Here is a 17,167-nt window from a genome sequence, read left to right as displayed (position 1 = left end):
AGCTAATCACCACTTAATTTGATCCACAAAGATCATGATGCAGTTTCAGGACCTCAGGTCTCCCTTAATGGGGCTTTGGCCACACTATTGAGATGGCTCCTCTTGATAACCTTTCATGAAAGATGGATGGATTTTTCCACGCTCCCTAGAGGAGCCGGCAGCTGTTTTTATGTTGCCATCAAGACACTTCTGCTACTCGGGGTAAGTGCAAAAATGGATAAACAGATATCCAAAAGAATTAGAAGCAGGATCCCAAAGAGGTATTTGCACACCCATGTTCATTGCAGCATTATGAGCAACAGCCAAGAAAGCTAGAAGCAACTCATCAACAGATGAGTGTATGAAGAAAATGTGGTATGTACATAGGGTGGAATATAATTCAGCCCTAAAAAAAGAAGGAAATCCTATGACATGCTACATGGATGAAACTTGAGGATATAATGCTAAGCAAAATAAGCCAGTCACAGAAGGACAAATACTATAGATTCCACTCATAGGAGTAACTTAAAATAGTCAAAATCATAGAAATGGGCCTGGCTAGATGGCATACATCTGAAGTCCCAGCTATTCAGGAGGCTAAGACGGGAAGATCGGTTGAGCTCAGGAGCTCAAGTCCAACCTGGGCAACATAGTGAGACCCTGTCTCTAAAACAGAATATATATATATATATATATATATAAAATCATAGAAACAGAAAGTAGAAAGGCAGTTTATCAAGGTCAGGAGTGGGGTGGGAAGGCAGAATTCATATTTAGTGGGTACAGAATTTCAGTTTTGCAAAATGAAAAAGTTCTAGAGAAAGGTTGCACAACAGTGTAAATATACTTAATGCTACTGAACTGTACATTTACAAATGGCTAAGATAGTCAATGTAATGTTATGTGTTTTTTACCACATTGAAAAAATAATAGACACAAGGCAGAGAACAAAAAAACCTGGCAGGGTGGGGGAACACAGAGGTACCAGGGAGCATTTGGTGACTGACCCTCGGCCCTTCTGTGTGAGGTCCATCCCCCCTCCCAGCTCTCTTCTCCCCCACAACACTCCAGGCTCCCCTCCTACCTCCCCGCCCCATCCCAGCTGCTCCTACTTCTCTGAAGGCCCATTTCCTTAGTGGCTCCTCTTCCTCCTCCTGTAGAGGTGGGCATCCCTAGGACACATGTGTCTCCATTCTGCCTATCCTTCCCTACACTCCTTCTGGGAGAATGCCTGCATTCCCAGGTCTTTCGCTCCCCATCCAGCCCCACCTCCTCCTCCTCTGGTTCCCACCGTTCTTCCCGCCCCACAGGAACCACAGAGCCTGGGAAGCCGGGACAGGCCTTTGCCTCTGTGAGCCCCCTTTATGCTTCTGGTCCACCCCTAAGGTCATCACACCCTCTTCTTTGCCACTGGGCTCCATAGCAGCTGCCTCAGCTCACTTCAGAGCCCAGCCCTCAAAATTCTGGACCCACGATGTTCCGACCTTGGTCCCTGGCCCCCTGACAATGCCACATGTGCATCTTGCTGGTGTCCTATTTCATCACTGGCCTTTGGCAGGTGTCAAACTCTCCTGGTCCCAGCAACTTGGTGGAGTTCTCAACCTTCACAGAGAACAGGTCTCTGAGCTCCATGCAAGGCTGCGATTCAGCAACGGCCCAGGCAGCAGGGTCAGTCATCCTCACCATTTCAAAACCTGTCCCCACCCCACCCCTGGCACCCTTCCTCCGCCAAGTCCAAGAGTGACCCAGCCCTGCCAGGCAATGGCGCCTCACTTACGGCGTGGCCTCGCAGCTGAGTCGCAGCCTTCTGGAAATGCGGCATCATCCTCTTGCACATGCTGCACCCTGGTCACAGGCAGGAGAGAGACCACATCCGGTTACAGGGATGGCTGAGCCCTTGCACCCTGCCCTGCCTCCCCATGGCCATCCTCTACCCAACAAGCACTTATCCAGCCTTGAGAAGCTCAGGACTATTCCAGACCCTGGGGACACAAAAGGAACAGGAGGTGGGCGTCTCAGCCCCCAAAGAGCTTACTGTATCAGTGGTGCAAAACAAGGCACTGCCCAGCAGCCACTCATAAATGTTGGACTAAAGAAACAAACATGACATGATGGGAGAAGAGCAGAGCCCAGAATACTTCAGCACTGATAATGAATTCAACAGAGATTCAGAAAACCAGAACAGGTGTCAAGAGAGCAACTGCTGCACGCACAGCAAAAGGCCACCCCTCACTGCCCAGGCAGGGCCTGCAAATGAGCTGGAGTCAAATGCCATTATGAAGAAAAATGTGTGACCACGAATACGATCACTTTTGGGATGTCCATGCCTCCTTTCTCTTTCATTAACAAGGATAATTAAGCAATGACCAGAGGCAGGCTGATGGTGAACAGTGCTGGCTCTGGCCTGTGGGAAGAGCGTCAGGCCAGGAATCGGGATGCCATGCGGACTCTGATCTTCACTCAACTTTCTAAAGGCCTTGGAGAAGTCACCTCCTCTCTCTGGGCTGTTTCTTCTGGCAGATGAGAGAGGCTGGACCACACAACCTAAGGCCCCTTCCAGCTCTGACAGCAAAGGATTCTGTCTGCGATGGCCTTGGCTCAGCCCTCCGGGGCTCTGTGGTCTACCATGGTCACACTCCTCTCCTAGTGGTGAAGACCCACAGCCTTGATAGGGGGCCTTGAACTCCTGGACTCAAGCGACCAGGAAGGCCAGGTCCCAAACATCCACTAAAACTTTAGAGTGACCTTAAACTCCTTCCCTTAAACCAGAGCAGACCACATTTCAGCACTGATCCCACAGGACATGAGCAGTTTCCTCAGACAGCAGGGATTCTGAAGTGCCAGGCTATTACCCTTTCCGACTGCCTCTCTGCTACAAAACAGGGCTTAAGATGCATCTGAAGAGCACAGAACCAAAGCTGCCTGGAACCATGTGTCAGGCTGATCTCAGCTTGGCACAGCGGGCACAGGGTCCATGTGGCGACAGGCAGCCCAGCTCCAATCCATGCTTAGCTGACGCCTAGACAGGCCGTGAAGCCAGAAGGCCAACATTCCTTCTGGGCCACCAGAACCTCCCCAGCACCAAGCCTACCGGACAAGATGCAGACACAGGACATTTGGCCATGAGGCTCCAAAACTGCCCCACAGCCCCCTCCTGACATTCCTGTCTGACAGATGGACTCACACACACCCCAGTACGCGAACCCTGGGCTTAAGTTCTGCCATCAGTCCTGGCAGGAGAAAAGGAGCTGTTTCGAGGCCAGCCTGCAGCGCGAGCCCGCCGAATCTGCCCTCAGAAGATAAGAGGCACCTCTCCTCAGGACCTGCCACCTCAGTGCGAACACCATCAGTGGCATGAAGGAAGGAATATGACACTTGTCAGGGGCATTGTTTCCATTGTGGGGATTCAGAAAGAGGAGAACAGAAGCAGGAACAACGCTCAGGGGGAAATGCACCGGGTGGAAAACAGGAGGCTGCAGATGGCGCAGAGGAAGGAGCTCAGCTCTGGGAAGAACAAGGCTGAGACCGAGGTCTGCATCTCCCCATAACTCCCACTGGCTGGGTGATCTTGGGCAAGTGGCCTGGGCTCTCCAAGCCTCGGCTTCCCTATCTGTGCAGTGGGGATAGGTGCCCTGCAGGTGTTAGATAGAGCCGGGGAACATTCAGTGCCTGCAGAGACATCTTAGTCCAATGCCAGGATTTGGGGGGGTGCTTCCCAGTCCATGGTGGGGGAAACACTTCCACTGAGGGAAGAGGATGTCGCTGCACTCCCCAGGAGGGAAAATAAGGGGGGACACCTGCAGCCTTTCACTCATTCTTCGCTCAGTGACTTCAGTCTGACCCCCACTGGGCCACATTCATCTATCAAGAACTTTATTTACTATCTGTCTCCACAGTGTGGCCTCTCTCTTCCTGTTTCGCCTGTTTGCAGCCTGCAGCAATAACACCCTGAAACAGAGGATAAGTCGGCCAGTTGTCCCTGTGGGCAGGGCCAGTGGTGCTGGGTGGAGAAGTTATTGGTTGGGGAGAGGTGATGCAGGAGGAGTAGGAAACCACAGGCCAAGCCAGTTTCCAATTTAACTTTACCAAAAATAGGGCTGGCCCTGTGCTTCCTGAGTTTATCTTCCAGCTGATTCCACTGGGAGGCAGGGGGAGAGGTAAGACTAATTATCATTCTCAAACCTCAAAAGTCAGAGTAGTCAGCCTTTTTATTTTCTTATTAATTCAGTGAGCAAACATTTCCTGAATAAGCGGTAGATCCTGGGGAGCCAGGTTCCTTGTCACCACCAAAGGTTCTCACTGCCTTTGGGCCCATTCACCCAACATGTGACCAAAGGGTCACAGAGTCCTAACAGACGTCCCAGTTAGGGAACTGCTGTGTATCCCAGGAATCAGCTGAATTATGATGCCATGGAGACTTGATTAGACTAGTGTGCTAAAAGCACAAGTTTGTTTCATTTTGTAAAAAATCATACACACGTGCATAATCAAAAAAAGGGTCCCGAGGTTCCTTGGGACCTAGGAGTGCAACCGATCTGACCCTCCACCAAAAGTTGAACTTAACCTCCGAGTTTTCTCCTCCCTCCCCTACCACCAATAAGCTTTGTGACTCTGTGAGGTACCTAATTTCCCCTGCCCCAGCTTTCTCTTCTGTAAAGATGATAACTGTGCTCACCTCTCTGTCGTGAAGGATGGGATGGGCACACTGCCACACAGCCTGGGTGCATGGCGGGAGAGGGCACAGCACACGGGCGCAAACTGCCCGTGCACACTTCTAAATGACTAATGGCATCACACTGAGACCTGCCTGGTTACACCCGGATGCCGTCTTGTGGCACGCACTGCATATTGATATACACTCCATTTTACAGCTTCATTTAACCAATGTGTTGAGTCCTGAAGGGCTTTAAGATATACCAAAGGAGGCCCATCCTCTAGGGGCTGTGTGGACAGAATAATTCCTAAAGCAATTCACAGCTGGGTAGTTAGTAATATTCCTCCAAGAAGAAACAAAAAGGGGTGAAACCAACTAATGAACATTAATAAAGAGAAGGAGCGAGGGTTAAAGTAGCTACCATTCAGGGCAGAGCTGGATCTACAGCAAGTGAGACACCAGGGCCTCATCCCAAAGGTAAGCACAGCCCTGGGGCCAGCGAGGAGGCCTGGGGAGGAGGCTGGGGCTGGAGGACACCCAGCAATCAAAACAGGGCTTGGGGGGCCGGGCACGGTGGTTCACACCTGTAATTCCAGCACTTTGGGAGGCCGAGGTGGGTGGATCACCTGAGGTCAGGAGTTTGAGACCAGCCTGGGCAACATGGTGAAGCCCCATCTCTACTAAAAATATACAAAAATTAGCCAGGCCTCATGGCGGGCACCTATAGTCCCAGCTACTCGGGAAGCTGAGGCAGGAGAATCATTTGAACCATTTGAACCCGGGGGGCGGAGGTCGCAGTGAGCTGAGATGGTACCACCACACTCCAGCCTGGGCAACAGAGCAAGGCTCTGTCTCAAAACCAAAAAAAAAAAAAAAAAAAAAAAAAAGAATAGGGCTGGGGAAAGGCTGCTGTCATGGCGAATAAGCTACTGGCTCAAGTCAGGCAGAACCACCAGAATGCCACAGAGGGGCATCCGGCTGGGGGGCGTCATCCCCAGGGCACAGATGGGAGGAGCCTTTGTTTAAAGAACTTCTCAGGAAGTGGGATTCGAGATGGGCTTTCATGAGCAAACAGAACTCTGGTTTGCTATGACAAACCAGAGCCTATGACACCCTCCTGAGCCACACACACACCTAGGCACACCTGCCTTGCATCATATACAACCCCTCTGTTGCTCAGCCTTCAGGGAAACACTGACACTGCTGGCTTCGTGAAGGGCCGATGCAGCTCACAGAGGTGCAGCACAAAGGGCCTTGGCAGGCTCAAATCCAGGGTTATTTTCAATCTGTGGGTTGGGAGCCATTAGACTGTGGAGGTGCCCGGACAGTGAATATTTGAGGCTTTGCAGGCCACGCCGTCTCTGTTACAAGACTCAACTCTGTTGGTATAGCTCGCAAGCGCCCACGGACACCACATCAATGTATGGCCATGGCTGGGTTCTAATAAACCTTTACAAAAAGAGGCAGCTGGCCCGTGGGCCATAATTTGCTGACCCTTTGTCAGAGGGTTATGAAGCAGTACGTAGAACCAATAATTTTTTAAAAAAACAGAACAGAAAATAGTGGGCATTACATCTGGTAAACAACAGATGGCAATAGTAAGGGCAAGAGTGGTTTTGCGAAACTTTTGTCTCAGCTTATTTGCATATAATTTATATATACTTCTAGTACTGGTTGCAATATAAAACATTTTTAATTCTGTGAAATTCAGTCAAAAAGTTTGAAAGCCACTGCTGTGATCCAGTCCCTTCTCTTACAGATGTGGAAACTGAGACCTAGTGAGGAAGGACTTGGCCAAGTTCACCCGGCTTGCAGTGGCACAGCTGGGATTCAAACCCACATGTTCTGGCTGTCATCTGAAAGATCCTCCTGCCATTTCCCACATCCTCCTGCCTCATACAGGGACTGAGCCCAAATCCTGGAACCAGTTTCTCTCTGCTCCTGGTCCCCCGCTCCTCCCAGGTGGCACCTGCAGAGGATGCCAGCAGAGGATGCGGGAGCCAGAGCTAGGCAAGCTGTTGCCCCCAGAGGCGGGCCAGGCTCTGGACCATGACGCCATGCCCGAGGGGTGGCAGAACAGCCACAAGGTGACCGCCACTGAGGCATGGCACCACCAGCAGGAAATGGGACATGGTGGGGGAAGGTGGAGCTGACCAAACAGGGTGAAGCTCTGGATAAAGAGGGTAGAAGGACACAGATTCTACTGGAGACAGAATGCAGGGCAGACAGCAGGAGGGGAGGAGCCAGATGAAAAGGCAAAGATGAAGGAAAAGAGGCGCAGATGGAGAGATGAGATTCAGCGTTCTAAGCCAGGCACCCAGGCTAATCCCCCAGACCCCGCCCGCAACCCCCACCTGCCTCCCACCCACAAAGAGACTAAACAACTAGCTCTGGCCCAAGGGAGAAAGTTCACTCACAGGGGGCATAAAACATGATCAGGAGCGGCTTCTCTTCCTTCTTCAGGAGCCGTCTGAAGTCCTGAGGCACAAAAAGAGAATACCAGCAGCTCGCACACAACACAGTAACAGGATGAGACCCCCTCCCCGCCCCTCCTGCATACAGCAGGGTGAAGGGTAGGGATGGGGAGGGGAGGGGGAGTGAGCACTTCAGAAAGCATACGCTGGCAGCTGATTTGCGGGTGGGGGCAGAGCCGCGGCAGGCCAGGAGCTGGAAGAACCTCAGAGATGATCTATTCGAGACCACCCTCACGTATTACAGATGGGAAAACTGAGGCCCCAAGCTAACAAATGGCTTTGGCCGCCTGGTGAGAGGGAGTCGTGAGGACCAGGCTGCTGGCTTTCCTTTCAGCTCCACCTGAACAGTTCAAAGATGGCAAAGAGCGGTTTTTGTCCCGTGAGGCTGTTGAATAGGCTGCCCCTTCCTGTGACTTACACAGCGGTTTTGTTGTGCTGCGGGTGGCTGTTTTCATGTGTGCCTGACTTGGCAGATGGGGATCCGCTCACTGTGGGAAGACGGGTTAACCCATACCCACTAATCTCTCGCTAATCTCTCCCCAGGCTCCAGCTCTGCCACCACCATCCTTATCCCCAGGAGTCCACGGAGCACACAGGGCAGAAGGAGGGGGCCTGCTCCACCCTCCAGGAGGTTACAGGCAAAATAGATTTGTAAAACCCTTAGAACAGTGCCAGGCATGTTATTAAGCAATACATAATGATTTGTTAGATACATACAATAAAGGCAAAAAGACAAATGGCCACACAGTGCTCATGTAAAGACTTGAGTGTGTGAACAGGGTAGAGACTTTTCTTCCAATGAGAGCCAATGATGGATGGGAAAAAGCAACTCTATCAAGGACTGCAGTGAAGCACGATGATAAGAGCATATTTCGATTAAAGTAAGCTGCTCAACCACATTTTACAGAAGAAAATGAGAGGGTTTTCTCTTTTGAATAATAAGGAAAATAAGAAAATTTCAAAATGCAGCTTTCTGGCAGCAAGAAGGCATTAGGTAAATAAATGATGGCACATCCCGCACAATGGGATACTACTGCATCATTAAAACCGATAAAGAGGAGTGTTTAATGTCACAATCAGATGTGCATGGTGCACTAAAGGGTGGGGGAAGCAAGTTACAAAACAGCACATAAAATGTAATGGCATCTTTGTGAGTAAAAACATCATATACACATTATCTTGAAAGCCTGGAAGACTACAAAAATATCAGCAGGCATCTCTCTCAATGTAAAGGTATGAGGTGATTTTTTTTTTCTTTCTGCTGAAGGTGCATTTTCTAAATTTTCAACAATGAATGTGCATTAACTTAAAATTTTTCAGTTAGATTAAAAAAAAGATTAAATTTTTGTGGATATCCAAAACACTAGAATAAATTCTGGAAAAGTTTACCTTTGTTTACGTAACTAGAGAGAGCATTAAGGCACTAATTTTCAAACAAATTTTGTTTGAAATAATTTCCAAACAAAATTAGTAACCAAGATATTTAACCCTAACTACGGGTACAGGATGCAAACACTTCTAAAATTGTCTTCTGGGATTTCTGTAGATAAAAGCTAGTAAAAGACCTGAGAAGAGATTTTTATTGAGCCTATAGCAATTTGGTTTCATACCCTGAGTAGTAACAGATATTACATTCAAAGATGCTTAATTACCTTCACAAAGTATGAAATTCCAAGCCTACAAATTGAATCAGCAATTCAAACTTGAATTTGGAACTTTTCATTATTTATGTGGACATTCTATTAGCAGAGAACCAGCTATACTTCTTATTTCCATAGGAGAGAAAAGAGCACAAAGCAGAACAAGAGGATTCCCTACAGGTGTGAAAGAAATATTTCCGCTTGATATTCCTACAGTTACAGAAGAACAACCTTAGGAAGGTCAGGACATTGTGTCTGGGGGAGGAAGGCACCAGGCAATCACTTTCCAGAGAAGCTATCAACATTCATCATTACAGGAGCAGCACTCCGTTTAGGCTGTTTGTATTTCCATGGGTCTAGGCACATGTGCCACTCTCTCCTGGCACTTGCCCCTCTTTCCCTGCCCCCACATGCTTTTTTTTGAGAAGGAGTCTCGCCCTGTCACCCAGGCTGGAGTGCAATGGCATGATCTCGGCTCACTGCAACCTCTGCCTCCCAGATTCAAGCAATTCTCCTGCCTCAGTCTCCCGAGTAGCTGGGATTACAGGCAGATGCCACCATGCCTGGCTAATTTTTTTATCTTTAGTAGAGACGGAGTTTCACCATGTTGGCCAGGCTGGTCTCAAACTCCTGACCTTGTGATCCACCCGCCTCGGCCTCCCAAAGTGCTGGGATTACAGGCGTGAGCCAGTGCCGGGCCCACATGCTTTTTAAAAAGACATCTTTAAGGCCGGGCACAGTGGCTCACGCCTGTAATCTCAGTACTTTGGGAGGCCGAGGCGGGTGGATCACTTGAGGTCAGGAGTTCAAGACCAGCCTGACCAACATGGTGAAAACCCATGTCTACTAAAGTACAAAAATTAACCAGGCATGGTGGCACACACCTGTAATCCCAGCTACTCAGGAGGCCAAGGTACGAGAATCGCTTGAACCCCAGAGGCAGAGGCTGCAGTGAGCCAAGATCACGCTACTGCACTCCAGCCTGGGTGACAAAGTAAGACTCTGTCTCAAAAAAAAAAAAAAAAAGACATCTTCAAGATGACAATACTGGCTCTTTGTATCCCAGAGAATGTTGTGCCCAGTCCTTAATTTGAATCACCACTGATCCACTAGGTTGGCTCACAATGATGACATATTTTACCTTCCTCCAGAAGGTTAAAAAAAGGCATCATTTTCTTCTGGGCCAACAAGCATTAAGAGTACAGTCAATAGGCAAGTTACAGAGGCCCATGCCCGTAATCCCAGCACTTTGGGAGGCTGAGGCAGGAGGATTGCTTGAGGATAGATGTTCAAGACCAGCTTGGGCAACAGTGATAGCCCATCACTACAAAAAATATAAAAACTAGCCAGGCATGGTGGCATGTGCCTGTAGTCCCACTTACTTAGGAGGTCGAAGCAGGATTGCTTGAGCCCAGGAATTCAAGGTTACAGTGAGCTATGATCACAACACTGTACTCCTCCAGCCTGGGTGACAGAGCGAGATCCTGTCTCTAAAAACAAAAAAAGTCAACAATTTTAAAGGAAAGGGGAGAGGAGGAAGAGAAAGATGAAAGCTATGTTTTATTTTATTGAGATAGGAATGAACCCTCTCCCTCTACCTACAAAAAGCACTGCTTGCCTCACAGACCATCTGGACTATCACAGAGAAGTTCTTGCCCATCCCAAGTGAAGGCATCATACAAACACGGATGCACATGGCTAAAGATGCACATTCAGGTCAGGTGGGCAGGCTGTGGATGGAGGGGCAATGTGTGTCACAGCTTTTGCATTCTTTATTTTTTTAGAGATGGGGGTCTCACTATGTTGACCAGGCTACCCTTGAACTCCTGGGCTCAAGCGATCCTCCTGCCTCGGCCTCCTGAGTAGCTGGGATCACAGGCACCCGCTACCACAACCGGCCTGTCATAGCTTTTGTTAAATACTTAAGAACTAATAAACACCATAATCTAGATCTACCCTTCTACCTCCACCCCTGGCCAAATTTGGAAATTGAAGCATAAGAAGGTAAATAATTGGTTGAAAGCTATAGAATGACCCAGAATTGTAGAGATCTGCCTCAAGTCTCTGGAAATCTAACCCAAATCTCTAAGGTTATTCTTTAAAAAAACAAAACAAAAACAAAAAAACAAGATGTAAAGCCAATCCTAACAACATCTGGATTACACAATAGAGAGAGAACATTTAAATCTACATTAATGTATGGAAAATCTAAACGTGTTCAAATGCATTAAATAAGGAAGGTGAAGAATGGAGAAAATTCTCAGGCAACCTGTGATCACCGCTGGTTACAACATGGAGCTGGGAAGGGGAGTCAAATATTAGGGTCCTGGCCTAGCTTCCCTAGAGGAAAAGTACAAGTGATCCTGGAATAGTCCCATTTCTCAGTTCGTTGGGCTCCTTTCCTTGGGAGGCCCTGGTACCAGGGAAGCTTCCAGCATCCATCAGAACTGACGGGGAATACATTACCTTTTCACTGTCAAGGTGGACAACATCTTTGGCTCCAGGATCTTCCTCCCACAGTGGGGGCCCTTTTGGATCCTTCAAAAAGGCCACTATGGACTGAGGGAAAAAAAAGAGAAGAGAAAATGCATTTTAGCCCTGAAAAGAGGGAGGTGGGGGAATCAGGAACCTGTCCTCTTTCCCTGCCTGGAGACCTGGGCACACCAGCTGCTGAGCTCAGGACTGCATGTGGCATAAGCTTGGAGGGTGTGTTATTTCCGCTGTCCACTGACATCATGGATAAGTGCCCAAAAATGCACCTCCACCACTCCCATCGGGCTTTTTCAATCACAAGACACCTTGCTCACTCCAGCCAGGTAGTCCATGCCTACTATGCATCTTCAAGGACAAAAAAGAGAAAATTTGAGACAATGAGTTGGCTTATTCAAACCAGAGACATACTAGTGCTTCTACTAAATCTCATCTCCTCCAAGAAGTCTTTCTGACTAATGGAATAATGGTCTCAGTCTTGTCCAAAGGAGACATTTCCACATTCCTGCAGCCACTAAAACTGTCATCCCATAAGCAGATCATCATACCTACTTATGACCTGCTTGGTATTTCATGATCTAAACTGGTTTTGGAGTGGATTAAATCCTGATTATCCGCCTCTGTATATGAATGAGTGAGGTCCAGGCTGGGAAGCCCCCAGGGCAGGGTGGGCACCAATGTGGCCTCACCCTTGTTGCTATACTTCTCATGCTGGGGCCCCTCTTCTAGACTGCCTGGATTGAAGATCTGACCAAGTTCTTACAGATAAAGGGCTTCGCTGGCCTTTGTTATGTGTACAATGACTCAAATCTCCACTCCCTGTGGGGAAGATGCACAGGGGCAGGGAAGAGTGGCACTGTCCTTCCACCCTCCTCTGTATCCTCTGCCACTCTCACTGGTCCAGGGCAGAAGCAGCATTCCCTTTCCCTTCAGTCACTCAGAGACGGTGCTCAAAGTCTGAGAGCCAGGATCAGGAACCAGACCCCAGCCAGATTCTGTTACTTCTGTCAACTTTGACCACGCTCCAGCGAGCAGATGCTGAACTGAGAGTGTATGTGTGTGTGTGTGTGTGTGTGTGCGTGTGTGTGGCCTGAGATGAGAAAGGGAAGTGCCCTTCTATAATAGTAAGGGTGTGCATTCAGCCCATCCACTGGTCACACACGGAGAGGACCTTATTATTTCTGGAAACTCTATTTGGAAAGAACTACTACGGGAGAATGGGAGACAGCCAAGACTTCATAGGATTTCATTCAGGTAGTGCTTCCTGCCTGTCCAAGTGGAGCTGTGAAACGCCTCCTGGCAAAAGAACAGCCATTTCTGCCACAGCAAAAGGCGGATCCACCCTTTCTCAGTCCCTTGTCAAGGCTTTGCCATGACAACATAAGGAACTATGGAATTGGCAGGGTCTTCCCGACACCCACACTCACCCACAGCTGCAGAGGCACCTGTCCACCAGGCCATGTGAGAAAGATGCTGGTAGGCACCCACCTGCCTGGGGTTCCAGAAATACCTGGTGCAGGGGTTCTTAATCTAGGGTGCACAAGGGACTTCAGGAGTCGGTGAAGCCCCAGACTCATGTGAAAACATTGACTTTGATTTGTATGCACACACGCTTTCAGGGAGAAGGTCTGGAGTTCAGTAGGTGCTCAGTGGGATCAGGACTCCAGAACAAGTTAGGAACTGCTTGCTCTGGGGGGTGTCCTGGCCCCACGCCCAGCCCTCCTCCCCCTTCTCCACCTCAGCATCAAGAAAAAAAGATAGCAGTGGATGGAAAAAGGAGATAAATGGCCTTTTAACGTAACAACTGACATGTTCGTACACACAACCTTGTTTTTCAGGTGAGGATTATTCTCACTTAACTGAAGCTGAATAACCCCACCCATAGGTTCTCTCCAAGTTGATCTAACTGGACAAGACCTCAGGGCAAAAGTCTGCAGGGAGCAGCACCTGGAAGCCCACCCTCAACTGTCCTATTCTGGGTGCTCTGAGTCCCAGGCACTGTCTGACACCACATCTGGCCTTCATAGCTGTAATCCTGGCTCACAGCTACTGGGCCCTGAGGTCATCAGTGAGTCATCTGAATCCAGACTGCCAGGCACCTCTGGCCCTTACCACTTCTATAGTAAGGATTTGGGGAGTATGTGCTAACAAGGAAAGGGCAGCTTAAAGGGGACATTCCCCACTTCGAGTTTCCTATTCTTTGCCAGTGGGGAGATAAGTTCTCACTTAACTGGCCTATGACCTCTCTAGGTGCCGTGGCACAGCGTCTGTGACCAGGCTTCTGCCCAACCATGCGGGTTGACAAAAACCACAGCCAGAACATGGGCCTGCAGGTGATGGGCCCCTCCTGTCGGGGGGTCCTCCATCTCTCTGGAGTCAGGGTCCCAGGAGAAACCCTGAATGGAAAGTTAATTAGTGACTGAGGTGGGCTCTGATCTCAGCTGTCTCAAGCTGAAAAAGCAGAAGCCATCAGCAGTCAGGGAACTGTCCTGTCCCCTTCCCTCTGCCCTGAAGAACTCCAGGGATTCTGCCCCAGTCCTGCTTGGGGATGCTGGGACTAAGAGTGCCCTCTCTCCAACTGAAACTGAAGACTCTGGCCCCGTACGATGCTCAGCCACTTCTTCACCTTGTTGATGCCTAAATCACGGGAAGGTCAAGAGAACGCTGACCTCACACGTCTGGTCTTTGTAAGAAGTGGGGCGAAGCCAGGATTCTGCCTCTCCCACCCAGACACCCAGTGGCATGCTGGGGCCACCTGGGCTCCTTGCTTCTTCTCTGCTACCACAATTATGAGGAGCCGCTCAGAACTCCCTGCTCCATAAGCCCAAGACAGATTCCTCAGAGGTCCCGGTTAAACATAAAATATACACAGCCTTCAATAACAAAACAAAACTCCAGCCCTCTTTCCATCATTGCATAAGCACTTCCCCCATCCCACCCAACTAAATCTTGTTCCTGGGGAACATGTGTTCTCTCCAAGAACTTCGGTTGACGTCTTAACATAGAATAAGAAGGGCTGAGCAACTCTAGTTGGAAGAACTTTCTAAGTGTCTAAGTAGGTGTTAAGGTGATGAGTAATCAGGCTGAGTCCCTATATAAGGTGAACGCTGTAGCAATTTAAAAAAAGAATGAGTGTTAGTGGATAAGCAAGAATGACCTGGAGAGATGGTGGGGAGAGACAGAGGGAGAAGGAAGGGCAGAGGGAGAGGGACACTGACAGCTGCACAGACAGATGGACAGATAGGAAAAATGGAAGAGACACAGATGGAGAAAGAGGGACAGATGAAGAGACAGGAGCACAGGGTCCAACCCCGTGTGGGAAACAGGAGGGTTAGGAAGTGAGTTCAAACACGTCAGGACCAGGAGAAATGTATGGCTTCAGCCAGCGCAGGACCAGAAAACAGAAGACAGGCTGGAGGAAGGGAATCCTGACCCTGAAGGAGGAGAGTTGCAGTTCAGGAGGACTAAGGGCTGGGGCAGCCGCTTTGTGATTACAAAGCATGTATAGATTACAGGATCTCATATTTCTTTCCATTTATGCTTTTCCATCTACTTCTAAATTGGATTGATAGCAGGGAACTCCTCAATGATACCCATATCTCATCTGGAACAAGCTGCATCAGCCCAAAGGTGTCAACCTGCCCATGTGCAATACCCTGTGCTAACCTGGGCATCCAGCCTGAGGGTGGCCACTACCACAGAGATGAGGGGAGGACTTTGAAGCTACAACGAAATGAGGCCCAGGCCTTTGGCAAAGAGAGAGGTGACATCACCTGCCTTACTGGACAACTGCTGATACATTCACAAACCTATTTCCAAAGCTGGGTCAATCTGTTGTGTTAAGAGCTACAAACTTTTCCACATATTCTGCTGACATATGCTCTAGAGATAAGAATCTCTCAGGTCATTTAGAAGAGCTATTTGTGCAATCTGCCCTTTCTTTTCTCAGAGAGAAAACCTGCCAGACTTTGGGCGTCCATTTAGACTCCACCATTGCTGAGAACAAGGGAGGTAAATTTACCTTAAATGTCACAGCTCGGTTATATTCAGTATGAAATGCACCATCCCTGTCAAATGAGGAGAAAAATGTGTTAACTTTAAGAATGGTTGTGAAGATACATACCTTTGGTTTCCTGCAGCATCTTAATAAGATTCAGCTTTTGAACGGAGTTCAGGATTTTTTTTTAAAAGAAATAATTGTAAACACAGGAAGAAAACCATTCTGAAATAAAATTAATCTAACTAAAAATTGCTGTTCGCTGAAAATACCAATGAAAGCATTTGGCACTTACTTGGAAATTGGAAATGCCCATGTGTACTTACTGGTAATGGAATAATTCAACCTTTTTGTCCTTCGGGCTCAGGTCAACTTTCATCTTCTTGCACAATTTTCTACTCTCTGCATCACTGGAAGACACAAATGTTGGGAACCATTTATTACCTGAAGTCCTCACAAAGGTGTTGACAGCAAAATCTGCTGGTGTCCTAAGAAATAAGTCAGGTAACTTGGAATTCTCAATAGCAGATGAAGGCCTTACTATAGATGGGCTGTGAGAGCTAGAGGGTGGAGACTAACTAGCAGGCTAGGGGCTGATCAAGAAAGACAGAGGCTGGGCGTGGGGGCTCACGCCTATAATCCCAGCACTTTGGGAGGCCAAGGCAGGCAGATCACCTGAGGTCAGGAGTTCGAGACCAGCCTGGCCAACATGGTGAAACCCCGTCTCTACTAAAAATACAAAAATTAGCCAGGTGTGGTGGTACGTGCCTGTAATCCCAGCTACTCAGGAGGCTGAGGCAGGAGAATCGCTTGAACCCAGGAGGCAGAGGTTGCAGTGAGCCAAGATCATGCCACTGCACTCCAGCCTGAGCAACAGAAAGAGACTCCATCTCAAAAAAAAAAAAAAAAAAAAAGCAAGAAAGAAAGGAAAGGAAGGGGAAAAGCAGACAGGAGCATGTGTGTCACAACTTGTGGGTGGCAACACAGACAGGTCCAGACAAAGGAGGTGACCCAGAAGCTTAGTGGGTGGACAGCCCATGGTAACAAGAAAATAAACTCCAATCCTGGCCGTTCTTTAGAATTATCAGGCAAGTTTTTAAAAAGATGGATGCCCTGGCCTTCCCCTGATTATCAATTTGGAATCTCTGTTGGGGGTGGACAAGCAAGATTTTTGTTTTTGGAGCTCTGACATAGGCTATCTGCTATATACTACGTGACCAAGGTAAGAGGAAAACATGCTACCATGTTGAAGAAGTTATGAAATCTGGCCAGGTATTGACAAAAGACAAAAGGAGAAAGGGCCAGGCTGTGGTTAAAGGAGCCCCTCCCTTGGCATCTGGGATATTACACTCTCTTCCAATAAGAAATGCCTGTGAGGTGCCATTCCCTGTTTACAAAGCACTCACGCACAACCTCATCTCATCTTGGTGCCCTGCCTGTTAGAACAATGGATTTCAATGTGTGGTCCCTGAATCAGTGGCACCAGCATCATCCAGGAACCTGTTGGAAATGCAAATTATCAGCCCCATCCCAGACCTACTAAATTAGAAACCCTGGGGATACCTGAGCAATTGGGTTTGAACAACCTTCTAGGTGATTCTGATGTGTGCTCAAGTTTGGAAACCACTCATTGCATTAGACTAGCTCCTTCACTGGCTCATGTTCTTCTCCCCTACCTCCATAAGGTTTGGCTCCCCTGTGCCCTAAACCAGTCCCTTAGAGACCTGACCTGTTCTCAACAGCTTCCCCATCCTGCCTGCACTCAGCCAGTCAGAGAGCTCTTGTTACCTGGGGGCCATCTCCCCAGCCCTGAAAGGACTCAGTAAGGGCATCTCGGCTACCCAATGCCCACTGGTCACCACTGACTACACAACTGGAGTCATCTTTTGGGGAACTTTGTTGGGACAGGTACGACAGCCACCTGAGGCAAGGC

At 48.6% G+C, this 17,167-nt stretch overlaps 1 protein-coding gene across 4 annotated transcripts in view, besides 1 other annotated feature; it reads right to left on the bottom strand.

Moving 5' to 3' along the window:
• Positions 1 to 17,167, bottom strand: part of PDIA5 (protein disulfide isomerase family A member 5) — a 95,080-nt gene that overhangs the window by 44,050 nt on the left and 33,863 nt on the right. For all 4 annotated transcript variants that reach the window (NR_028444.2, XR_007095629.1, XR_007095630.1 and 1 more), the window contains exons 4-8: positions 15,561 to 15,644; positions 15,259 to 15,304; positions 11,214 to 11,306; positions 7,051 to 7,111; positions 1,757 to 1,824 (exon numbers count right to left, since the gene is read on the bottom strand). Coding sequence is in view for 1 of the 4 variants with exons in the window: in NM_006810.4 (NP_006801.1) it covers positions 1,757 to 1,824; positions 7,051 to 7,111; positions 11,214 to 11,306; positions 15,259 to 15,304; positions 15,561 to 15,644 (352 nt within the window). In the remaining 3 variants the exon portion in view is untranslated. The remainder of the gene's footprint in view (positions 1 to 1,756; positions 1,825 to 7,050; positions 7,112 to 11,213; positions 11,307 to 15,258; positions 15,305 to 15,560; positions 15,645 to 17,167) is intronic.
• Positions 6,919 to 7,419: an enhancer, noted in NCBI's record as "H3K4me1 hESC enhancer chr3:122829483-122829983 (GRCh37/hg19 assembly coordinates)". NCBI's record gives its function as "activates a minimal SCP1, AML or CMV promoter by ChIP-STARR-seq in primed H9 embryonic stem cells {active_cell/tissue: H9 hESC(primed)}" and the evidence as "EXISTENCE:reporter gene assay evidence [ECO:0000049][PMID:30033119]".

Source organism: Homo sapiens, chromosome 3 (assembly GCF_000001405.40).
Source record: "Homo sapiens chromosome 3, GRCh38.p14 Primary Assembly".
Taxonomy (NCBI): Eukaryota; Metazoa; Chordata; class Mammalia; order Primates; family Hominidae; genus Homo; species Homo sapiens.
The sequence above is the reverse complement of the archived record's forward strand: the minus strand, read 5'-3'. Positions and strand labels throughout refer to the sequence as shown.